This window comes from Homo sapiens, chromosome 3 (assembly GCF_000001405.40).
Source record: "Homo sapiens chromosome 3, GRCh38.p14 Primary Assembly".
Classification (NCBI taxonomy): Eukaryota; Metazoa; Chordata; class Mammalia; order Primates; family Hominidae; genus Homo; species Homo sapiens.
The window spans coordinates 142,075,062-142,102,158 of NC_000003.12; the positions used below are offsets into that span (position 1 = coordinate 142,075,062).

The 27,097-nt window shown below is 39.2% G+C and overlaps 1 protein-coding gene across 19 annotated transcripts in view; it reads right to left on the bottom strand.

Annotated features, from left to right (window-relative positions):
• Window positions 1–27,097, bottom strand: part of TFDP2 (transcription factor Dp-2) — a 205,117-nt gene that overhangs the window by 130,634 nt on the left and 47,386 nt on the right. For 12 of the 19 annotated variants that reach the window (NM_001375780.1, XM_017007100.3, NM_001178139.2 and 9 more), the window contains exons 2-3: window positions 26,674–26,780; window positions 18,000–18,066 (exon numbers count right to left, since the gene is read on the bottom strand). Coding sequence is in view for 7 of the 19 variants with exons in the window: in XM_017007100.3 (XP_016862589.1) it covers window positions 18,000–18,066; window positions 26,674–26,688 (82 nt within the window). In the remaining 12 variants the exon portion in view is untranslated. Of the gene's footprint in view, window positions 1–17,999; window positions 18,067–26,162; window positions 26,286–26,673; window positions 26,781–27,097 lie in introns of those variants that run through there. The other 7 variants (XM_047448779.1, XM_047448785.1, XM_047448784.1 and 4 more) reach the window with 1 other exon arrangement.

Genomic DNA, 27,097 nt, shown 5'->3' on the forward strand with positions numbered 1-27,097 from the left:
ACTCATAATGGACCAAAGGCCTAAACTTAAGAGCTAAAACTATAAAACTCTTAGAAGGATCTTCATGACATCAGATTTGGCAATGATTTCATGAATATGACAGATACGAAAAGCACAGGCAACAAAAGAGAAAATGAATTAACTGTAATCCATCAAAATTAAGGACTTCTGTGTATCAAAGTATACTATAAAGAAGTGATAACACAACCTATTGAATGGAAGAAAATATCTGCAAATGATATATCTGAAAAGAGGTTAATATCCAGAATATATAAAGAACTCCTCAAACTCAACAACAAAAAAACAAAACAACCTAATTTCTCCCCTTTTGAGCCATCATGTTTGCCTCAATCTCTGCCATCAAATTCTTCCAGCCAATAAGATTTTGTTTTTTCTGCGAAAGTTTAGTATCCTGCGTAGAGCACACTAGTGCCTGTCCTCTGACTGAAACTAAAAACTAAAAAATGGTAAACTCACCTGGCTAAACAAGTACAACTCTGTTAGTCCCTCTCTACTGCTTTGAGATACTTTTAAAAAAATATATTGTATCCAGGCCACACATGGTGTCTCATGACTGTAATCCCAATACTTTGGGAGGCCAAGGCAGGAGGATCTCTTGAGACCAGGAGTTCAAGACAAGCCTGGGCAATGTGGCAAAGCCCTGTCTCTACAGAAAAAAAAAAAAAAAAAAAAAAAAATAGCCAGTGTGGTGGTGCATATCTGTAGTCCCAGCTAGTCAGGAGGCTGAAATGAAAGGATTGCTTGAGCCCAGGAGGTCAAGGTTGCAATGAGATGTGATCATGTCACTGCACTCCAGCCTGGGCAACAGAGCCAGAACCTGCCTCAAAAAAAAAAAAAAAAAAGGCTTTCCCGGCATGGTGGCTCACGCCTGTAGTCCCAGCACTTCAGGAGGCTGAGGCGGGCGGATCACCTGAGGTCAGGAGTTTGAGACCAGCCTGGCCAACATGGTGAAACCCTGTCTTTACTAAAATACCAAAAATTAGCTGGGCATGGTGGTGCATACCTGTAATCCCAGCTACTTGGGAGGCTGAGGCAAGAGAATCACTTGAACCCAGGAGGCAGAGGTTGCAGTGAGCTGAGATCACACCACTGCACTCCATCCTGGGCAACAGAGTGAGACTCCGTCTCAAAAAAAAAAAAAAAAGAAAAAAGAAAAAAGTTTTATCCAGAATTTCTAGTTGTTATTTGCAATAGGTTTGGTCCAATAGAAGCTAAATACCCATACCAGAAGCAGAACCAGAAAGTAATTCAGAAAGATATTTGCTGTGGTACCATTTATCAGAAATAAGATAGAGACAATCTAAGTGTTGGACAATGGGGGAATGGATAGGTAAATTGTAATATATCCACTTAATGGAACAGCATATGACTATTAAAATATTTTGATGCAGCTATAAATAAAATGGAAGAAATGTTTCAAGTTTAAGGCAAGATGAAAAAAAATGAAACATAGAAATAATGTGATAGTGGTTTCAATCTTTAATCTTAGATTTATTGCAAACGATCTTCCCTATATATATAGATGAGGTTGTGACTAGTAAAACACAAATTAATTTTTAAGTGTTAATGAAGTAATATTAGCTTAACAATATGTTCCTCAATCAACATTCTAAGATTATGACTTAACATGTAGTTCTGTGTGCAGTTTCTTCAGTTGTCACAAAATGTTTCTCAAACTTGAAAATATTAGCTGGGGAATGAAGCAAGATGGCCAAATAGAAGCCTCTACCCATGGTCCCTCCATTTACAGGAACACCAAATTTAACAACTATCTACACAAAAAAGTACGTTCATAAGAACCAAACATCAGGAGCGATCATAATACCTGGTTTTAACTTCATATTGCTGAAAGAGGCACCAAAGAGGGTAGGAAAGAGAGTCTTGAACTACCAACTCCACCCCTTCCCTATCCCCTGGCAGCAGCCATGTGGCAGAAAGAGAGAATCTATGCACCTGGGGGAGGGAGAGCTCAGTGACTGTGGGACTCTGTATTGGAACTCAGTGCTGTCAACACTGGGCAGAACTCAGCTGATACCCACAGAGGGAACATATAGAACAGCTCTAGACAGAAGGAATCGTCCATCCCAGTGGTCAGAACTTGAGTTCTGGCAATCTCTGCCACCACAGGCAGAGCTCTGGGGTCCTAAACAAACTTAAAAGGCAGTCTAGGCCAAAAAGACTACAACTCTTCAGCAAGTCCTAGTGCTGTGCTGGGCTCAGAGCCAGTGGACATCGGGGGCACACAACCTAGTGAGACATCAACAGGGGTGGCTAAGGGAGTGCTTGCGCCACCCCATCCCAACATCAGGCTGCACAGCTCCAACCTGAAAAAGACACTCCTTCTTTCTGCTTGAGGAGTGGAGAAGGAAGTTAAGAGGACTTTGTATTGCAATTAGGATACCAGCTCAGCCACAGTAGAATAGGGCACCTGGCAGAATCATGAGCCCATTCTAAGCCCTAGCTCCCAGAAGACACTTCTAGACACACCATGGTCCAGAAGGGAACCTACTGCCTTGAAGGGAAGGACCCAGTCCTGGCAGGATTCCTCACCTGCTGACTAAAGAGCTCTTGGGCCCTGAATAATCAGTAGCAGTAGACAGGCAATACACTTCATGGGCCTTGGGTGAGACTCTGAGACATGCTGGCTTCACGTATGACCCAGAACATTCCAAGCTGGGTCATATGAGAAACTCCTTCTGTTTGAGAAAAGCAGAGGGAGAAATAAAGGAGACTTTGTCTCACAGTTTAGGTACCAGCTGAGCCACCAGCTGAGGTAGAGCACCAAGTGGGCTCTTGGGGTCCCTGATTCCAAGCCTGGGCTCTTCAACAGCATTTCTGGACCTACTCTGGATGAGAGAGGAGCCCATCAACCTTAAGGGTGAGTCCCAGGCCTGGCAGCATTCACCACAAGCTGACTGAAGAGCCCTTGAGCCTTAAGTAAACCCTGGAAGTGGCCTCTCAGTACTCTCTATGGACCTGTGGTGGTGGCTGGGGGAAAGACTCCTCTGCCTGTGGAAAGGGGAGAGAAGAGTGAGAAGGACTTTGTCTTGTGGTCTGGGTGCCAGCTCAACCATAGCAGAATACAGACCCAGGTAGATTTCTAAGGTTTCCGACTCTAGGCCCTGCCTCCCAGATGGCGTCTCTCAACCCGCATGGGGCCCAGGAGAACTCGCTGCCCTGAAGGGAAGAACACAAACCCAGCTGGCTTCATCACCTGCTGATTGTAAAGCCCCAGGGCCTTGAGCAAGACCCAGTATTGTGCTGGCTTCAGGTCTGAACCAGTGCAGTCCCAGTGGTGGTGGCCACAGGGATACTTATGTAACCCCTCCCCTATCTCCAGGCAGCTCAGCACAGACAGAGACACTCTGTTTGGGAAAAAGAAAGGAAAGATAATCAGAGTTTCTGCCTGGTAAACCAGAAAACTCTCCCAGTTCTTATCCAAGACTACCAAGGTGGCACCTCTACAAGTCTGCAAGAACCACAGCATTACTGGGTTTAAGGTACCCCCTAATGCAGATACAGCTGCCATGACTAAAAACTTGAATCACAACACCCAAGTCCCTTAGAATACCTAGAAAGCCTTCCCAAGAAGCACAGGTACAAACAAGCCCAGACACCAAAGACTACAATAAATATATAACTCGTCAATGTTCAGACATCGATGAACATCCACAAGCACCAAGACCATCCAGGAAAACAATACCTCAACAAATGAACTAAGTAAGACACCAGTAACCAATCCCAGAGGAAAAGAGGTATGTGACCTTTCAGACAGAGAATTCAAAATTGCTGTTTTGAAGTAACTCAAAGAAATTCAAGATAACACGGAGAAGGAATTCAGAATTCTATCAGATAAATTTAACAGAAAGATTGAAATAACTAAAAAGGATCAAACAGAAATTCTAGAGTTGAAAAATGCAACTGACACGATGAAAAATGTATGAGTCTTCTAACGGCAGAATTGATCAAGCAGAAGAAAGAATCAGTGAGCTTGAAGACAGGCTATTTGAAAATACACAGTCCCAGCCTGGCCAACCTGGTGAAGCCCCATCTCTACTAAAAATACAAAAATTAGCTGGGTGTGCTGGCGGGCACCTGTAATCCCAGCTACTCAGAAGGCTGAGGCAGTAGAATGGCTTGAACCCGGGAGGCAGAGGTTTCAGTGAGCTGAGATTGCGCCATTGCACTCCAGCCTAGGTGACAGGGCGAGACTCCATCTCAAAAACAAAAAACAAAAAACACACAATCAGAGGAGACAAAAGAAAAAAGAATAAAAAAGAATGAAGCACACCTACAAGATCTAGAAAATAGCCTCCAAAAAAGCAAATCTAAAAGTTGTTGGCCTTAATAACTTAAGGTGGAGGCAGAGAAACACATAAGGTAAAAAGTTTATTCAAAGAGATAATACCAGCAAAATTCCCAAACCTAGAGAGAGATATCAACATTCAAGTACAAGAAGTTTATAGAACACCAAGCTGACTTAACCCAAAGACTACCTCAAGGGATTTAATAATCAAACTCCTGAAGGTCAAAGATAAAGAAAGAATCCAAAAAGCCCCAAGAGAAAAGAAACAAATAACATGCAATGAAGCTCCAAAGCACCCGGCAGCAGACTTTTCAGTGGAAACTTTACAGTCCAGGAAGAGAGTGGCGTGACATATTTAAAGTGCTGAAGGAAAAAACCTTTTGCCCCAGAATAGTATATCCAGCAAAAATATCCTTCAAACATGAAGGAGAAATAAAGACTTTCCCAGACAACAAAAGCAAAGAGATTTCATCAACACCAGACCTGTTCTACAAGAAATTCTAAAGAAATTCCTTCAATCTAAAAGAAAAGGATGTTAATGAGCAATAAGAAATCATCTGAAGGTACAAAACTCACTTATTTTTAATTTTTTTGACATGGAGTCTTGCTCTGTCACCCAGGCTGGAGTGCAGTGGCACGATCTCGGCTCACTGCAACCTCCGCCTCCCAGGTTCAAGTGATTCTCATGCCTCAACCTCCCAAGTAGCTGGGATTACAGATGCACGCTACCATGCCTGGCTAATTCTTGTATTTTTAGTAGAGATGGGGTTTTTGCCATGTTGGCCAGGCTGGTCGCGAACTCTTGAACTCAAGTGATCTGCCCGCCTCAGCCTCCCAAAGTGCTGGGATCACAGGAATGAGCCACCACATCCAGCCAGTTATCATCTGTTTAAAAAATAATGGGTTATATTATTTGCAAGCCTCATAGTAACCTCAAATCAAACAACATACAATGGATACTCAAAAAATAAAAAGCAAGAAATTAAATCATACCACCAGAGAAAAATCACCTTAACTAAAAGGAACGCAGGAAGGAAGGGAAGAAGGAATGAAGAGAACATCACAAAACAACCAGAATACAATAAAATGGCGGGAGTAAGTCCGACTTATCAACAATAACATCGAATGAAAACGGACTCAACTCTCCAATCAAAAGACATAGAGTGGCTGAATGGATAAAAAACAAGATCCAATGACTTGTTGCCCACAAGAAACATACTTCACCAATAAAGACACATGCAGATATATGAAGAGATGCAAAAAGATATTCCATGACAATGGAAACCAAAAAAGAGCAGATGTAGCTATACTTGTATCAGATAAAACAGACTTCAAGACAAAACTATAAAGAGACAAAGAAGGTCATTACATAAAGGGGTCAATTCAGCAAGAGGATATAACAATTGTAAATATATATGTACCCAACACTGGAGCACACAGATATATAAAGCAAATATTACTGCTAAACAGACAGATAAACCCCCAATACAATAATAGCTGGAGACTTCAATATCCCACTTTGAGCAATGAACAGATCTTCCAAACAGAAAATCCACAAGGAAACACTAGACTTAATTTTCGCTATAGACCAATTGGACCTAATAAGATATTTACAAAACATTTCATCCAATGGCTGCACAATACACATTCTTTTCTTCAGCACATGGATCATTCTCAAGAGCAGACCAAATGTTAGGTAACAAAACAGTCTTAAAACATTCAAAAAATTGAAATATTATGAAGCATCTTCTCTGACCACAATGGAATAAAACTAGACATCAATAACAAGAGGAATTCTAGAAACTGTACAAAGATATGGAAACTGAACAATATGCTACCAGTTGACCAGAGGGTCAAAAAAGAAATTAGAAAGAAATTTAAAATGTACTTGAAACAAATGATAAAAGAAACACAACACACCAAAACCTATGGGATATAGTGAAAGAAGCACTAAGAGGGAAGTTGATGGTATAAGTGCTTATACATCAAAAAAGTGAAAAAACTTCAAATAGATAACCTAATGATGCATCTTAAAGAGCTAGAAAAGCAAGAGCAAACCAAACCTAAAATTTGTAGAAGAAAAGAAAGAATAAGGATCAGAGCAGAAATAAAACAAATTGAAACACAGGAAACAATGCAAAAGATCAATGAAACAAAAAGTTGGTTTTCTGAAAAGATAATATTGACAAACCTTTAGTCAGACTAAGAAAAAAAGAGAGAAGACCCAAATAAATAAAATCAGAGACAAAAAAGGAGACATTAAAATTGATACCACGGAAATTCATTAGTGGCTACTAGGAGCAACATGGCTACTATATGCCAATAAATTGGAAAACCTAGAAGAAATGGATAAATTCCCAGACACATACAACCTACCAACACTGAACCATAAAGTAATCCAAAACCTGAACAGACCAATAACAAGTAACAAGATTGAAGCAGTAATAAAAAGGCTTTCAGTAAAGAAAAGCCCAGCACCTGACAACTTCACTGCTAAATCTTACCAAATATTTAAAGAAGAACTGATATCCATCTTACTCAAACTATTCCAAAAAGTACAGCAGGGGTCCCAAACCCCTGGGCCACAGACTGGTACTGGTCCGTGGCCTGTTAGAAACCAGGATGCACTGCAGGAGGTGAGTGGCGGGCGAGTGAAAGCAGCTTCATCTGTATTTACAGATGCTCCCCACTGCTTGCATTACCACCTGACCTCCACCTCTGTCAGATTAGCCACGACATTAGAGTCTCACAGGAGTGCAAACCCTGTTGTGAACTGTGCATGTGAGGGATCTAAGTTGTGTGCTCCTTGTGAGAATCTCATGCCTGATGATGATCTGTCACTGACTCCCGTCACCCCAAGATGGGACCACCTAGTTGCAGGAAAACAAGCTCAGGGCTCCCACTGATTCTACATTATGGTGAGTTGTATAATTACTTCATTATATATCACAATGTAATAATATTAGAAATAAGGTGCACAACAAATGTAATACACTTGAATCATTCTGTAAACCATACCACCCCTCACCCCAGTCCATGGAAAAATTGTATTCCACAAAACCAATCCCTGGGGCCAAAAAGGTTGGGGACCATTGAAATGGAGGAGAGATGAATACTTCCAAATTCATTCTACAAGGCTTGTATCACCCAGATGCCAAAACCAGACAAAGAAACATCAAAAAAAGAAAACTACAGGCAAATATCCCTGATGTACACTGATGCAAAAACCCTCAACAAAATACTACTAAACCGTATTCAACAACACATTAAAAAGATCATTGATCATGACCAAGTGGGATGTATCCCAGAGATGCAAAATGGCTCAATGAATGCAAGTCAATCAATGTAATATATCATTTCAATGAAATGAAAGACAAAAACAATATAATCATTTCAACTGATGCTGAAAAAGCATTTGATAAAATTCAACATCGCTTCATGATACAATCCCTAAAAAACTGGGTACAGAAGGAACGTACCTCAACATAATAAAAGGCATACATGACAGACCCACAGCTAGTAAAATACAGGATAGGAAAAAGTGAAAGCCTTTCCTATAAGATCTGGAACACAACAAGGAAGCCTACTTTCAACACTGTTATTCAGTATAGTACTGGAAGTCCTAGCTACAACATTCAGACAAGAGATAAAAATAAAGGGCCATTCAAATTAGAAAGGAAGAAGTCAAATTATCCCTGTTTGCAGATAATATATTACATTTTGAAAAATCTAGATTCCACAAAAAAACTATTAGAATTGCTAAGCAAATTCAGTAAAGTTGCAGGACACAAATCAACATACAAAAATCAGTAGCTTTCTAATGGCAACAGTGAACAATCTGAAAAAGTAATTAAAAGTAATCCCATTTATAGTAGATACAAATGAAATTAAATACCTAGGAATTAGTCAAAGAAATGAAAGATCCCTACAATAAAAACTATAAAATACTGATGAAAGAAATTAAAGAGGACACAAAAAATGGAAAGGTATTCCATATTCATAGACTAGAAGAATCAGTATTGTTAAAATGTCCACAGTACCCAAGGCAATCTTTAGATTCAATGCAATCCTATCAAAATACCAATGACATTCTTCACAGAAATAGAAAAAACAATCCTAAAATTTATATAGAGCCACAATAGACCCAGAATAGCCAAAGCTATCCTGAGCAAAAAGAACAAAACTGAAGGAATCACATTACCTGACTTCAAATTACACTACAGAGCTATAGTAAACAAAATGGCATGATACTGGCAAAAAAACAGACACATAGACCAATGGAACAGAATAGAGAACCCAGAAATAAATCCATACACCTAGAGTGAACTCATTTTCCACAAAGGTGCCAACAACATACACTGGAGAACAGACAGTTTCTTCAATAAACAGTGCTGGGAAAACTGGATATCCGTATGCAAAAGAATGAAACTAGACCCCTATCTCTCACCATATACAAAAATCAAATCAAAGTGGACTAAAGATTTAAATCTAAGACCTCAATCTATGAAACTACTACAAGAAAACCTTGGGGAAAATCTCCAGGACATTGGTCTGGGCAAGAATTTCTTGAGCAGGACCCCACAAGCACAGGCAACCAAAGCAAAAATGGACAAATGCGAACATACCAAGTAAAACGTTCCTGCATAGCAAAGGAAACAATCAACAAAGTGAGAGACAACCCACAGAATGGGAGAAAACATCCGCAAACTACCCACCTGACAAGAGTTTTATAACCAGAATATAAAAGAGCTAACAATTCAATTAAAAAATGGGCAAAAGATCTGAATAGACATTTCTCAAAATAAGACATATAAATGGCAAACAGGTATATAAAAAGTGCTCAAAATCACTGATTATCAGAGAAATGCAAATTAAAACTACAATGAGATATCATCTCACCCCAGCTAAAATGGCTTTTAACCAAGAGACAGGGAATAACAAATGTTGGTGAGGATGTGGAGAGAAGGGAACCCTTGTACGCTGTTGGCAGGAATATAAGTTAGTACACTATGGAGAACAGTTTGGGAGCTCCTCAAAAAACTAAAAATTGAGCTACCACATGATCCAGCAATCCCACTACTAGGTATACACCCAAAAGAAAGGAAATCAGTATATTGAAGAGACATCTGTATTTCCATGTTTGTTGCAGCACTATTCACAATAGCCAAGATTTAGAAGCAATCTAAGTGTCCATCAACATACAAATGGATAAAGAAAATGTGGTACATGTACACAGTGGAGTACTATTCGGCCATTAAAAAAAATGAGATCCTGTCATTCACAATATGGAAGGAACCAGAGGTCATTATGTTAAGTGAAATAAGCAAGGCATGGAAAGATAAACTTCACATGTTCTTACTTATTTGTGGGTGCTAAAAACTAAAACAATTGAACACGTGGAGACAGAAAATAAACTATGGTTATCAGAGGCTGGGAAACATAGTGGCGTGGCAGGGATGGCAGGGGGAGTGAGGGTGATTAACGAGTACAAAAAAAAACAGAAAGAATAAATAATATTTGATATTAGATTTTTTTATTTTTATTTTTTTTGAGACAGAGACTCGCTCTGTCGCCCAGGCCGGAGTGCAGTGGTGTGATCTCAGCTCAATGCAACCTCTACCTCTCAGATTCAAGCAAGTCTCCCACCTCAGCCTCCCAAGTAGCTGGGATTACAAGCGAGTGCCACCACACTCGGCTAATTTTTATATTTTTAGTAGAGACAGGGTTTCACCATGTTGGCCAGGCTGGTCTCAGACTCCTGACCTCAAGTGATCCGCCTGCCTCCCAAAGTGCTGGGGTTACAGGCATGTGCCATTGCACCCAGCCGGTCAATAATTATACATTTATAAATAACTAAAACAGTGTAACTGGATTGTTTGTAACCACAAAGGACAAATGCTTGAGGGGATGGATACTCCATTTACCATGATGTGATTATTACACATTTGATAAAGTATGACTATATCAAAGTAACTCAAGTACTCCATAAATATATATGTATACACATCTATTATGTACCCACAAAAAATTTTAAAAATTTTTAATCAAAACTTCAAAATATTAGAAATAAATATGATTATAACCTTATTTTTAAGCTGCACATAAAAAATAATAAAAGAAAATACATTGTTTTAATCTTGTGTATTTGAACTAGATTTTGTATTTTTCTCATTTTTCTTTGTATTTTTTAATGAGCATTTATTACTCTTTTATTAAGGGGGAAAAGTAACAAAAATTTCCCCTGCCAACTGTACATCTGAGCGCAAGGACAAGGGAAGCTGGAAACAGTTAAATCTTAAAAAAAGAGCTCTTCAGGGTATGTGCATATAACGCCTCTTGTCCTACTTCCCATTAGAAGTATTGCTAATAACCTCAGGAAGCTCCACCCACATTAGCCTCATTTTGTCTAACTGATATATTGGATTCCATGTAAGATTTTACTTGGGAAAAGGGTTCTGCTGGTAAAACAGAGAATGGATGGGAAATCTCTACCCATTATCTACTCAATCAATCAAACTGTGATCCCAGCAATCTACCTTGATTAGTACCTTGCCTCTGACTGAGGTGACCAAACCTCAGTCACCAAATCTACTTTTAAAATATTATTCATGCTTATCATTTCTTTCCCTTCCCTTCTGCCACTATCTTCCGCCCTTGTTCTTTTTCACCTGGATTTGGTGGTAACTTCTGAGAACTTACTGCCTCTCTCTCTTCAGGATCACCTCCACTTCTAGTTTTGTCTACATTCTGCTTCTAGGGTTCTCTTTCTGATGGTATCACTTTATTAAGAATGGGAAAAAAAACCAAAGTGTTTTTCCAACTCTTGTACACCATTTAACACAAAACACTGCCTCTGGTCACCAAAATGTGTGGGGATTTCTCCCTACTAGCAAAAAATAAATTCTGACCCTACCAGGAGATCGCATCAGATCCCACTGGTTAAGGGCTCAGAGCCATAATACTGTCCCCCACTTCACATGCCAGTTGCAAGCACCAGGTTGTAACCTCTGCTTCTGACCAACCAGCTATAAATTGGGGTTCCTCAAACTCCCTACTCAGGTTCGATTAATTTGCTAGAGTGGCTCACAGAACTCTAGCAAAAGGGAAGCACTTTACTTATGTTTATCAGTTAATTTTTAAAGGATATAACAAAGGACGTAGATGAACAAGATCAACAGCCAGATGAAGAAATACATAGGGCAAGGTATGGAAGGGCTCCAAGCTCAGAAGCTTCTGTCCCCAGAGTTGGGGTGTGCCACCCTCCTGACACATGGGTGTCTACACCAACCTGGAAACTCTCCAAACCTTACAGTTCAGGGATTTTTATGGAGGCTTCATCACAGAGGTATGATTAATTATTAACTCAATTTCCAGCCCTTCTCCCATCTCCAATGGATAGAGGGTAGAGCTGAAAGCTTCAAGCTTACAATCGTGACTTTATCTTTCTGGTGACTAGCCCCCATCCAGGAGTCCACCAAGGGTCACCTCATTTGTACAAAAGTCACTCCTAATTACCCAGGAAATCCTGAGGGATTTAGGAGCTCTGTATCAGATGCTCCTACCACTCAGGAAATTACAAAGGTCTTAGGAGTTCTGTGTCAGGAACTGGGGTCAAAGACCAAATATTACAACAAAAGATACTCCTAGTACTCCTATCTACAAGGGTATTAGGAACTCTGTCTCAGGAATCAGGGCAGCGATCAAATGATATGACAAATGATTCTCCTAGCACCCCTATCATTCAGGAAATTACAAGGGTTGTAAGAGTTCTGTGCCAGAGAGTAGGAGCAGAGACTAATATATGTAGTCATGTGTCAACTGGCAATGGGGATAAGTTCTGAGAAATGCTTTGTTAGGTGATTTCATTGTTGTACAAACATCATGGAGTATACTTACACAAACCTAAATGTGTAGCATGTTACTGTACTGAATACTGTAGGCAACTGTAACACATGGTAAGTATTTGTGTACCTAAACATAGCTAAACATAGAAAAGGTACAGTAAAAACAGACTATTATCTTATGGGACCACCACTGGATAGCCATTCATTATTGACTGAAACATCATTATGCAGCACATGACTGCATTTCTTATTATTTCACATACTTCTTTTCTTTTTTTTTTTTTTTGAGACAGGGCCTCACTCTGTCACCTAGGCTGGAGTTCAGTGGTACGATCTCAGCTCACTGCAACCTCCACCTTCCAGGCTCAAGTGATCCTCCTGCCTCAGCCTCCAGAGAAGCTGGGACTACAGGTACACGCCACCATACCAGCTAATTTTTTTGTAATTTTTGTAGAGGTGGGGTTTTGCCATGTTGCCCAGGCTGGTCTTGAACTGCTGAGCTCAAGCAATCCACCCCCCTTGGCCTCCCAAAGTGTTGGGATTATAGGCATGAGCCATGGCACCCAGCCTATTTTGCATATTTCTTTACTGATTCATTAAGTCGCAGTCTAATTAGCATTACAGATTATGAGTAATAACTTTATTATCTAGGTCTCTACTGTGTAGTCACCTCCTCTGCTACATTGTTACTTCCTCAGTGCATTCTTCTCTGACCCACCCCATCTAAAGCTGAATCTCCTTGCTGTTGTATCCTCAGTCCTATACCCTGATATACAGATTTTTTCACATAACCAGTTTTTTATGTGTATGTGTTTGTAATCTATCTTCCTCACCAGAATGTAAGCTCCATGAGGGAAGGGACTTTGTTCTATTCCTTGTTTATCCTTAGCACCTAGAAAAATGCCTGGCACATAGTAAGTAAGTACTATTCAATAAATATTTGCTGAATCAATGAAAGAATGTGGCCTACCTCTCAGGTCTCATTTCTTGCCACAAAACAATCTTTATATGTGTCTCACATCTATACTGTTTTCCCTTCTGTAGTACTGGCTGGATATAACGCAACCCTGGAGCAGTCCAGCTATCTTTTTTTTTTCTTTTTTCTCTTTTTTTTTTGAGACAGAGTTTCACTCTATCCCCCAGGCTGGAGTGCGGTGGCGTGATCTTGACGCACTGCAACCTCCACCTCCCGGGTTCAGGTGATTCTTGTGTCTCTGCCACCCGAGTAGCTGGGATTACAGGCATGCGCCACCACACCTGGCTAATTTCTGTATTTTTAGTAGAGACAGGGTTTCATCATGCTGCCTAGGCTGGGGGCTCGAACTTCCCAAAGTGCTGGAATTATAGGTGTGAGCCACTGCGCCAGGTCTTTTTTTTTTTCTTTTTTTTTTTTTTTGAGACAGGGTCATGCTCTGTCACCCAGGCTGGAATGCAATTGTGCAATCATAGCTCACTGCAGCCTCAAATTCCTGGACTCAGGAAATCCTTCCACCTCAGTCTCCCAGGGTGCTGGGATCATAGGCATGAGCTACTGTGCCCAGACCAGCTATCTTTCTTATCAGTGCTGCTGGACAAAAGTAGTCGACCTCCTGGATTTAATATCTTTTTTTTTTTTGACGGAGTCTTGCTCTGTCACCCAGGCTGGAGTGCAATGACGTGATCTTGGCTCACTACAACCTCTGCCTCCCTGGTTCAAGCGATTCTCCTGCCTCAGCCTCCCAAGCAGCTGGGATTACAGGTGCCCGCCACCATGCCCAGCTAATTTTTGTATTTTTTAGTAGAGACAGGGTTTCACCATGTTGGTAAGGCTGGTCTCAAACTCCTGACCTCAGGTGTTCCACCCCCCTCAGCCTCTCAAAATGCTGGGATTACAGGTGTGAGTCACTGCGTCCAGCAGGGTTTAAGATCTTTAACCTCAATTGAGTTCAGTGCTGCTCTAACATTCTACAATTTCTTTGTCAATGCTCTTGCATTTGTGCTTTCACCCTCTCTCCTCAGTAGAAAAAAAAAAAACATAAAGAACCCAATGGAAATTCTCGAACTGAAAAATGCAACGTCTGAAAAAAAAAATCACTGGCTAGGATTAATAGAATAGTGATAACTGAAAAAAAATAAGCTAACTTGAAGACAGATTAATGAAAATTGTCATATGTGAAGAACACAGAGGAAAAATGGTAGGAAAAAAATGAACCTAACTTCAGGACCTAACTTCAGGGTGTTGCAGGTAAGGGATTTGGGATTTTATTTTAATTTAAATAGGAAGTTGCTTAAAAGGGTTTAATTAGGCAGGGGAGTGACCCAGTAACTGCACTTCTGAGTACTTATCTTAATAAATAAAAAGAAACAAAAACTTAGCTGATTAAAGATTCATTATGATGTCCAACATCATAGGTTTATATCATATATAGAAATATATATGCATCATATATAACCAACAAAAAAGACAAATATCCAACAATAAGGAAATGAAAAAATGTTTAATAAATCATTACTCATAAGCACAATGAAACAGTATGAAGCTCTAAGAAAGGTATTTATAAATGTGAAAACATGCAAAGTGTGTTTTTTAGATTCAGTCAAAAAAGGAAAATAGACAACTATAATACTTACCAGTTTTATAACTTTAAAACATAGTTATATAAATAATTATGAAAAATTACAAAAAAGAAAAGGTTGTATTAGAAAGGCAGAATTTTTTTTCTATTTTTCAAAAGTTTCTATAATATCATTGCTACATCATCATTTCAATTAAGAAAAATACTTTTCTACATCTCACTTCCAATACAACTCTCATCTTGGGCCTGTAACAAATATTAACTGAATTTTACCAATTAAAAGAAATCTCTTCCAAATCTTGTTGGTTCACTTAATGTGAAGTTCCTTCTGCTGTTACTAGCTAACAGCTCAAAGAAGAGCAACAGTTTTCTTTTAAAACATATAATTATTTCAGCCAGGTGCAGTGACACATGCCTGTAGTCTCAGCTACTCCAGAGGTTTGAACTCCAGGAGTTCAAAACCACCCTGGGCATAGCAAAACCCTGTCTCAAAAACAAACACATGCATATAGCTATTTCAAAATCTGATCTCTCTAGTCCACTCTTAAATGATTCTCTGTCTTCCTCTCCATTTGTTCTATAAAGTTAAACAAACTGAGGTTTTACTCTGTAACTAAACTTTACTGGTGTTAACATCTGTCCAGGGCTAACATTTATAACTAGTACTTACCCTTCAGATGCCTATTCTACCATCAAAGACAATCTTTCTCACCTAAACCCCCATTCTCTTTCTTTGTCTTCTGTCTTTTGGAAGCATTTTTCTTTCTTTCTTTCCTTTTTTTTTTTTTTTGGAGACAGACTCTCATTCTGTTGCCCAGGCTGGAGTGCAATGGCATGATCTCAGCTCACTGCAGCTTCCGCCTCCTGGGTTCAAGTGATTCTCTTGCCTCAGCCTCCGCAGTAGCTGGGATTACAGACACCTGCCACCACACCTGGCTAATATTTGTACTTTTAGTAGAGACAGGGTTTCACCATGTTGCTCAGGCTGGTCTCAAACTCCTTACCTCAGGTGATCCGCCCACCTTGGCCCCCCAAAGTGCTGGGATTACAGGTGTGAGCGACCATGCCCAGCCAAAAGCATTTTTCCATGTCACTTTTCCCCTTTATGACTTGCTATCCTCTCTTTATTTTCAAGGTTGCTGCATCATTCCATTATTCTCATTATTGCAATACTCAATATGTCTTCCATGTCTACCAAGCTTGTTGTTCCCACTTCCTTCCCCTGACCTGATTACTACGTTTTATTAGAGCAGAGATTCCCAGTTACGTGTTGTGAATAAGCTATGGGTATACAAAAGAATGGAGTCCCTCAGCCCTCACGGCAGTCTGGAGTGGCCTCGGGCAGCTGAAGCTTTTAGGTAGCTTAATCCTGACCTTAAGCAGCCTTTTTGTTTAGCCCTAGTGCATCCCACAAATGTTATCATTTTCTATGAATGTTGTCATGTGGGAAAAAAAATGAGGAGCATTGAGGCTTAAAGTATCTCTTAAATGGCCTCATAATACATACCTTAACTCTCAGAATCATTCCCACAGACTATTACTATTATTAAGCTAGGCCAGGTGTGGTGGCTTAAACCTGGCCAACAAGGTGAAACCGTGGAAACCCTGTCTCTACCAAAAATACAAAAAGTAGCCAGGCATTGTGGCATGTGCCTGTAATCCCATCTACTTGGGAGGCTGAGGAAGGAGAATCACTTGAACCCGGGAAGTGGAGGTTGCAGTGAGCCAAGATCATGCCACTGCACTCCAGCCTGGGCAACAGAGTGAGACTCTGCCACCAAAAAAAAAATAAATAAAATAAGCTAGACATTTTTATATTGGAATATAGATGTCTCTAGCCTGCTCTCTAGAACAGTGGTCCCCAACCTTTTTTGGTACCAGGGACCAGTTTCGTGGAAGACAATTTTTCCATGGATGGGGGTGGAGAGAGATGGATGGTTTCAGGATGAAACTGTTCCACCTCAGATAATCAGGCATTAAATTCTCTAAAGGACTGCACAACCCAGATCCCTCCCATGTGCAGTTCACAATAGGGTTCGCCCTCCTATGAGAATCTAATGCTCACTTGCTGGCCGCTCACCTTCTGCTATGCAGCCTGGTTCCTAACAGGCCATGAGCTCACAGCCTGGGAATTGGGGACCTCTGCTCTAGAGTACGTCTCCCACCTTAGACATAAACCCTTTAAGGAAGCTGATGTTTCTCTCATAGCTATTTGTATTGTAATAGATCTTTTTCCTACAGTTTATAATGAAAAATTTCAAATACACACAAAAGAGAAAGGAAAGGAATAATGAAACCCCACAGAAATATTACCTAACTTAAACAAATAATCAACTTAAGACAATATTGTTTTATCTATAATACCACCCACTTTACCCTCCTTCTCCTAGTGGATTATTTTGAAGCCAATTCCAGACATCATATAATTTCATCCGTAGACATTTCAGCATGTATCTCTATATACCACAAGATATTGTTCAAAGAGACATATTGAAAGATACTGCTGGTTCCTGTGTAAGTTCTTGTACTGGTGGGTCAGAATACTTTTTTTTCTTTTGAGACAAGGTCTCATTCTGTCACCCAGGCTGGAGTACAGTGGCATGATTATGGCTCACTGCAGCCTCAACCTTCCAGGCTCAAGCAATCCTCCTACACTGGCCTCCTGAATAGCTGGGACTACAGGTACACATCACCATGCCCGGCTAAGTTTTTGTAAAGACAGAGTCTCACTATGTTACCCAGGCTGGTCTCAAACTCCTGGGCTCAAGTGATCCTTCTGCCTCGGCCTCCCAAAGTGCTGGGATTACAGGTGTGAGCCACTGCACCAAGCCAGTGGGCCAGATTTCTGATATAAGCATTCTTCCAGTAAGACATATATTAGTCAAAGAAATACACACATACACACGTATATAAAATATACAAAACACATATATACGTATTTTCTCTACTGTACTTCCTTACAACTTAAACCATTTGAAAGTAGGATTGTCAAACAAGAAAATCAAGAAAAAAGTGGTCTGAACAGTTTCAATTGTAATAAGATCATTGATAAGGGATCTTAGAGATCTCTTAGGAAAGAGAAAAATCACACACAAAAATCCTCCGTCTGTCAGAGGTAAATGACTTTCATACAGCACAAGTTATGTGGCATGGAACAACGTGCTAATATCATAAAATTATTATACATAAAGTAATTCATGTAGCTGCATATTTTACAAAACAAATGCAATAAAACTAACTTAATTCAGAAAAATTTTATTCAATAATCCTTACCTTTTGTTGGACTGAGATTCTGATCTATAAATCCTCTTACTTCTGCATTTGTGGAAGTCAAACCAACCTGAATAAAACCGTTTAAAAAGTTAAAAATAGAATATTAAGTAGTATGTGTTCACTTAACAAGCTATTTTATATCTTCCATCAGACATCCATATCAAATATATATAGCCACATCAAATGAATTAATTATATTAACCACAGGAGTATTATTTTAAAATGAAATGTTGACATATTATTTAAAAGGGGAAGAATATTGCCTGTAGTCCCAACTACTTGGGAGGCTGAGGTCGGAGGATTGCTTGAGCCTGGGAGGCAGAGGTGTTGCAGTGAGCTGAGATCATGCCACTGCACTCCAGCCTGGATGACAGAGTGAGACCCTGTCTCAAAAAAAAAAAAGGTGAGGGGAATATGAATTGTCCAGCTTAAGATAAAAATTAATGAAATACTATTACTTATGAGCAGAACTGAGATTTTACAGATTTTACTGACAGTTCTTTGAAAGCAAGTAAGTAATGTGGCAGCCATGAAGTTGCCAATAGATATTTCAAAATTCCATCCCCACTGTTGCCCTTAATTTGTACTATTCTTAATCACTATCTAAAATGCTTTCAATACTATGACATGTGAGGAATCAAATAAAGACCATTAATACCACAATGCAGAAGTAAAATACATTGGCCTTAAGTCCAACTGCTTGGATTCATATTCTGGACCATCAAGCCTACTAGGGGTTTGGCCTTGGTCAAGTCATGCATTTCCTCATCTGTAAATTGGAGGGTGATACCAGTACTTAGCAATTCAGGTTGTTATAAAGACTAAATGAGATAATTCATGTAAAGCATATAGCACAGGATTTGGCACATACTGCTCAATCCATGTCAGCATACGTTACTGTCAGTATTATACTTGAGGGACTACCCACAGCAAGTATTTATGAATTCACTTTTAGATAATTTATTTCATTTAAGGTAATATCCACTACACTACTTGGCATCACAGAGCTGAATACAGGAATATCATCAAACAGAATATCAGAAATATATTACAAAGCCTGGAGGAAAAAAAACCCTCAATTTTTGAAAACTTGGCAGAACGCAAACATCCAAAAATTGGCTCTATTATTACTATCAAATACTTTTTGTAAGCATTGAAGATTTGTAACCTTGAAACATTACAATTTTGTTACATTACACTAACTTGTAACATCACAAGTTTGTGGTATGATACCTCAAACTGTACTTTTTTTTTTTTTTTTGAGATGGCGTTTCACTCTTGTGGCCCAGGCTGGAGTGCAATGGCACCATCTTGGCTCACTGCAACCTCCGCCTCCCGGGTTCAAGTGATTCTCCTGCCTCAGCCTCCCAGGTAGCTGGGATTACAGGCACCTGCCACCACGCCCAGCTAATTTTTGTATTTTTAGTAGAGAAGGGGTTTCACCATGTTGGCCAGGCTGGTCTCGAACTCCTGACCTCAAGTGATCTGCCCACCGTAGCTTCCCAAAGTGCTGGGATTACAGGCATCAGTCACCACGCCCAGCCCTCAAACTATACTTTCAAGACACTACCACATGGAAAGGATTTTTTAACCCCTTTACTGAGATATCATTGATATATAAAAATGGCATACACTTAAGGTGTACATCTTGATGTTTTGATATATGTATACATTGTAAAATGATCACCACAGTCAAGCTGACATATCCATTACCTCTATATAGCTATTATTGTGTATATGTGTGTTGCGAAGATTCAATTTAAGATCTATCCTTTTAGCAAATTACAAGCACACAATACAGTACTATTAATTATCATCACTGTGCAGCACATCAGATCTCCAGCAATCTGAAAAGATTTTAAAGCACACAAAGCTTTATAACTTTATAACTATCCACTTATTGTTCTAAACACTGACTACTTATATTTTTCTTCTTCTTTTTTTTTTCAGATGGAGTTTCGTTTTTGTTGCTCAGGCTGGAGTGCAGTGGCACAATCTCGGCTTACTGTAACCTCTGCGTCCCGGGTTCAAGCAATTCTCCTGCCTCAACCTCCCAAGTAGCTGGGATTACAGGCGTCCACCACCACGCCCAGCTAATTATGTATTTTCAGTAGAGACAGGGTTTCACCATGTTGGTCAGGCTGGTCTCAAACTCCTGTCCTCAAGTGATCCACCCGTCTTGGCCTCCCAAAGTACTGGGATTACAGGCGTGAGCCACCACGCCTGGCTGTATTTATATTTTTCATAAGCAATTATTTGATAGTTTATAATATCAATGTAAGAGCTAATTATTTCATTATTTGATAATTCAATGCTCTACTAAGAATTCAAATGCTCTACTAATAGCTGTTTCTTTCTGTCAAGAAGTATGTTAGCAGTAATATTTTTACATATTTTTCATATCCTAACAAGTGATTTTGATGCAAATCTCTAGAATCTATCATCATCAAATTTTTATGACAGTAGCTGAGACTAAGTCATCTAGAAAATGGCCTCTTAATTCTATGTAGATAATAGTGCAGATACTTAACTTTGTCCAGCTTCTTATCACTTTTCAGTTAGAAATAAAGACAATACTTTCCAACAAAATTTGCAACAAATAACTATATGTTATGGCTCTTCAGTTGCTCACAAATAATGTTAAATATCCAACTTGTTGATTTGTTGAAGAGTTTATTGTGCCATTACTAATAACTCCCCCCTCCTTTTTAAACTCTTCTGCTATAGGAAGATGACAGAGGCAAAACTTGTTGGTGTTCTACTTTAAAAAGAAAGCAAAGAAGGCAAAGACAGCCTTTAATAAATTCCATGCTTGATACAATATAACCATTTAAATACATGTATTATAATAACTTCAAAAGGATCAGTTTATACCTTTTTGTTATTATACAACCTCAACTAAACCTCAAAAACCTCAACTAAAACCACATATTCATAATAGAGAGTTCAGTTACTGGGTTACCGTTATGCTTAAACACCTGCTCTTAATATCCAACTTCTGCAGAGTAAAACAGCCAACGAATGTGGAAACTTTTTAAGCAGCTGTACACCTGCATCTTAAGAACCAACAAATTGTACTCCAAAAAGATAAAAGTCAATTGTGAGTCCATACTGCATGCTAATCTTAGTCTCATAGATGGAGGGGAGGTGTTTGTATTTAAAGCTTATATATAAAACCAAAATATATTTAATTAAAACTTCAAAATATGTATTAATTTCTACTATCATAAACATTTTGTAAAGATTCAAAAAAACTGTATTATTTGAGAGTAGAAAAAGTTGGCTAGCGAAAGCATCCTAAAATATTAGCCATTCTTCCCTTATTCTACCTATTTAAAAAGGACTTATCTTTCAATGAACAAGAGAAAAAAGTGAACTCATATTTCATGTTAAATTCTTTGCCTAATCATGTCCTGAGGAAAATATGCTGAGTATTCCTCTCTTTTTTCTCAATTTTTAAAAATAAATTGTATTGTCTGTATTTAAGGTATAAAACATGATGTTATAAGATACATATATATAAAATGGTTACTATAGTGGGTATTCCAATGCTGTGTTGTGTACTATATAACCAGTCACTATGCGTTTACTGAATTCAAAGTATTTAAGTTCAATTTTTAAGAATCAGATCATATTGACTAATAATATTGTAATTTCATTGATATTCAACATTTCTGACTGACATAACATTACTGAAATGTTCAGAGTAAGATCATCTGTGCTCAGTTAAGCTCTACCTTTCACAGGCAAGGTGATCGTGGAACGGTCACTACAAAATGGGAATGATAGAACGTATGTGCAAGACAAACTAAAGAGCTCATAGGATCGAGTCAAATGATTATGTAAATTTATCTGTTAATTTGGCAAAAATATATCTATTAATATGCCAAAGCAATATTTAAGTGTGGGTTGTCATCCAAATGGCAATGGCTTCCAACACTTCAACCCTGACACAGACCATATGCAAAAGAGAAATGCAAATGACCAATAAACATACAGAATGTTAGTTTACTTAACTAGTAATCAGAGAAATGTAATAAATTGCACACCATTTTTTGCTGATTAAATTGGCAAAGATTTATAAACATATAAAAAGAAATGTCACTTTCATATACCACAAGTATATATATAAATCTGTGCAATCTTAGCAATATGAATCAAAAGCTCTAAAAAATTATACACACTTTGGCTCAGTAATTTCATAGAATTTTTCTTCTGGAGATAATATGATGAGTGAGCAAAAACAGACAAAATGTTCCAAAAAGGAAAAAAGCAGAAGTAACTTAATGGTCAATATTAGGAAACTGGTGTAATATCCATACAATAAATAACATAAAATAGCCACTTAGGCCAGGCACCATGGCTCATGCCTGTAATAGGAGCACCTAGGGAGGCTAAGGCAGGAAGATTGCTTGAGCCCAAGAGTTTGAGACCAGCCTTAAGGAACATAGTGAGATCCTGTCCCTACAAAGAAAAGAAGAAATTAAGTGGGCAAGGTGCCTGTAGTTCCGCTACTGGAGAGGCTGAGGTGGGAGCATCGCTTGAGCCCAGGAGGTGGAGGCTGCAGTGAGCCATGATCATGCCACTGCACTCCAGCCGGGGCAACAGAGCAAGACCCTGTCCCAAACTAAACTAAACTAAAATAGACACTTAAAATGATGTTCCAGAGATATCAAGATAAGAAAATGCATTCATCACAGAAATTAAATAGTAGCCAGGCACGGTGGCTCATGTCCATAAACCCAGCAATTTATAGTCCCTATTGCCCAGGCTAGAGTGTAGTGGCACGATCTCGGCTCACTGCAACCTCTGCCTCCCAGGTTCAAGTGATTATCTTGCCTCAGCCCCTCTGGCCCAAGTAGCTGGGATTACAGGCACACTGCCACCACACCCAGCTAATTTTTGTATTTTTAGTAGAGATGGGGTTTTACCATGTTGGCCAGGCTGGTCTCGAACTCCTGACCTCAAGTATCGCCTGCCTTGGCCTCCCAAAGTGCTCGGATTACAGGCGTGAGCCATCGCGCTGGGCCAATGTCTATACATTTTGATTGCTACATATACAAATTTGTATACAAATCAGATATCTTCCTAAGCAAAATTTTGCTGACAGTCTCTAGGCTATTTTTTCTTTTCTTTATCTGTATTTTCTAATTTTTCCATAATGAGTATTACAGCCTACATGTTTTTCTTAAAGATTCATTGACAAGGCAAAAAAAAAAAACCCTCAAAAATTATATTTCAAATTATTTACTGTATTATTGCTTAAATTAGAACACAACTGCATTTTTGGTCTAGAAAAATATTACTGGATACTAGATACTATTTGATAGCAATTTCACCCCAGATACAATAAATATGTTGCCAGCTCCTCACCTCTTCCTTTTGCAAAGTGATCAATCCTACATCTCATGTAGTTCTAGTAAGACAATTAATCTTAGAGGCTCAAAGTGGGCTCATGACTCAAAGCCTGGCCACTTACCGTATCCCACTTCCATCTCCACGGAGTTTAAGCAAGGTCAACTCAAACTTCTCCGTAGATTTTGAAACATAAATACTAAAAAGGGGCCAGGTGCAGTGGCTCACACCTGTAATCCTAGCACTATGGGAGGCCAAGTCAGGCAGATCCCTTGAAGTCAGGGGTTTGAGACCAGCCTGGGCAACATAGCCAGACTCCATCTCTTTAAAACACAAAAGTTCTCTCTCTCCTTCTGAGACAAGTATTATGAGGCCAATGCAAGCCATTATGCCACCATACAGAAGGCCTAAAGATGGAAGAAGACAGACCCCTGACATCATCGTTTGATCCCTGGAATCTAGATGTGTTTGAAGCAGCCTCTAGACTTTTCAATTATATAAGTCAATACATTCCACTTTTTGTGTTAAGCTGTTTTGATAGGGTTTCGATCATTTGCAACTATAAGAGACCTAATAAAGCATGGATAAGACAAAAGTAACTCTTCACAAAAAAACTGTTGTCATCAGAGACATGTAAAATGAGAAAATTTAAAATGTACATATTTGAATACATGGTTAGTAATGCCTCTGTAAGAGGGCAATCTCTTCCCTATCTACAATCTCTTCTGTGTTTGTGAGTCACTTCTCAGTAACATGTGACACAATTGATCACTTCCCCTTGAAACACTTTCTTCACCTGGGCCTCCAGATCATCAGGATAACTCTTTTCTTCCTGTCTTTGCCCATTCTTTGAGTGTCCTTTATGGCTTCTCTTGCTTTCCACCTTTTTGTTGGAGAATCCCTGTGCTCAGACCTTGGTCCTTATATATTTGCTATCCATGCACTCACTATATGATCACATGTAGTCCCATTGCTTTACAATGATTTTAATATGAAATGACCCGGGCCAGGCGCGGTGGCTCACACTTATAATCCCAGCACTTTGGGAGGCTGAGGCAGGCAGATTACCTGAGGTCGGGAGTTTGAGACCAGCCTGACCAACATGGAGAAACCCCGTCTCTACTAAAAATACAAAATTAGCCGGGCATGGTGCACATGCCTGTAATCCCAGCTACTTGGGAGGCTGAGGCAGGAGAATCACTTGAACCTGGGAGGCAGAGGTTGCAGTGAGCTGAGATTGTGCCATTGTATTCCAGCCCGGGCAACAGAGCAAGACTCCATTTCAAAAAAAAAAAAAAAGAAATGACCCCAAAATTTCTACCTCCATTCCTAAGCTTTCCCCTGAGCGCCAGAGTCACTTATCAAATCGCCTAGCCAATATCTCCACTTGGAAGTTTTTAGGTTTCTCAACTTTAGTATGTTCAAAACAGAATATTTAAGTTTATCACAATATCCTATACCTCCCTAAGAATTCCTCTTCTAATTAAACAGCACAGTCATTTACCCAGTTACACAAGTCAAATACTGAGAAGTCTCTAACTTCTTTCCTGCCCTCATATCCTAATGACTCAATAAATCTTGATGACTGTCCCCAAATGATAATGAAGCAAAATCTGTATCTGCTTCTAGTTACCAATGCATGTTAAAAGCAATGTTCTGAATTATAACCCAAAATAAGCAAACAGACATAATGCAATAAGGATTTGTTTGTTAACGCTATTGTTCGGCTGCATAATGGGCAATATTTAGAACTATCGGTCTGACTCACAAGAAACCCTTTATCATCTTTCCTCACACACTGTGCTGGACCCTCAGCAGCCATTTCATGCAACAACACTTGCTTCTCCTGGTCACAACTAACTAAAGCACTAGTCAACATCAGACTTTAACTGTGCCAGAGGCTCCTCCTAAGGAGTCTGAAACTAGAAAGGCAGGCAGGATGCATCAAGCTACCTCCTTCCCTTTTTTTTTCTTGAGACGAAGTCTCGCTCTTGTCCCCCAGGCTGGAGTGCAATGGGGTAATCTCAGCTTACTGCAACCTCCGCCTCCCGGGTTCAAGGGATTCTCCTGCCTCAGCCTCCCGAGTAGCTGGAATTACAGGCGTCTGTCACCGCGCCTGGCTACTTTTTGTATTTTTAGTAGAGACGGGGTTTCACCATGTTGGCCAGGCTGGTCTCGAACTCCTGACCTCAGGTGATCTGCCCACCTTGGCCTCCCAAAGTGCTGGGATTACAGGCGTGAGCCACCATGCCTGGCCTGCCTCCTTCCCTTTCTTCACACCTCTCTCTGAACAGGCTGGTCCCCTAACATATAGATGGAAATGCTGAGTGGGGCCATGTTCCACCATCCTGGCTGGGGAACTGAGAAAGATGATTTGGACAGACAGACAGAGGGAGAAATGAAGCAGGTACACAGTAACAAGCTGAGAGAGATGAGAAATGAAAACCAAATACTGCTTCAATTCCTGCTGGATTTCTAGTTTCTGGGCCTGGATCTTTCTGAGGGCCCATAAAATTCCCACTCTTAAATTCCTTGAGATATCCCTGCATCTTTATAACAAATTCCCTTTTTGTTTAATTCCCAGTCAAAGATTCCTACATAATAATATAGGAACAGTAAAGCAATTAGACTTTAATACATATAACATTGGAACAGTAAAGCAATTTACAAATAATTCCCCTATATGTTGTACTCTTTAAGGCACAATTCTTTACCATAACTGGAAACAAACTCATTAATAAACAGTGACAAATAAATAAATAAAGAGTGACATACAACTTGAAAGGAGGTATATTCAGAAATGATCACCTCAAGTAGAGGGAAAAACTTGAATAACTTCTCCAAAACATCTAAAATCTAATGTTTCTTCAGGAACCATCTCATGGAAGGTAGCAAGCTACTTTCAGACAATATCTGAGCACATACATTTCCCTGAGTAACCAAAAAAAAAAAAAAAAAATAAGCCAAAGAAAACAGTGATTTGCTCAAAAAGGCCAAGTAACCCTCCAGCAAGTACCAAAACAAATTTATTACAATATCCAAAAGAGGAGGGCAGGGTGGGAAACCTTCTGGAGATAGCAATTTGCAGCTGTTGAGAAGTAACTTGGTGCCAATTTGCAAGAATGCTACTATCTCCATTAGGGCACCATATTCAATCGCATTAAAGCTTATCTCATATTCTGCATAAACATAAACAAATACAATTATAAATCCATGCAAGTAAATTAAATCTGGTTAACCAGAATGGTGAGAAAATATGTAGGAAAAAGCACAGCTCACTTTAAACAATACTTACATTAAAAAATTTACAAATACTTACATTTTTTGCCGTCATGTCAAACTGTATTCTATTTAAGATTCTGTAAAGCCATTAAAAAAATAAAAAGAAAAAAACCTTCGTCTTCAATAATTCTTTAAAAGAACAACCTGTTAAAGGAAAACAGAGGGAATAGTAATGTAATAATAATAATAGGCAACATTTATGTCATATTTACTATGTGACATGCATTGTTATCTAAGTGAACTGTCTAAATTAATCTTCACAACAACACTATGAGGTTTGTACCATCTTAATCCCCATTTTCCAAATAAAAACTAGGGCTTAGAAAGGTTAACTAATTTGACCATGTCAACTCAGTTCACAAGTGCTGGAGCCTGGGCTTTGAAATGGTATTAGGCTATGCTGCTTTAGAAAATCCACTGAAAGAAACACCAGGGCTTCTTGGAGAAATGGCTGATTCTAG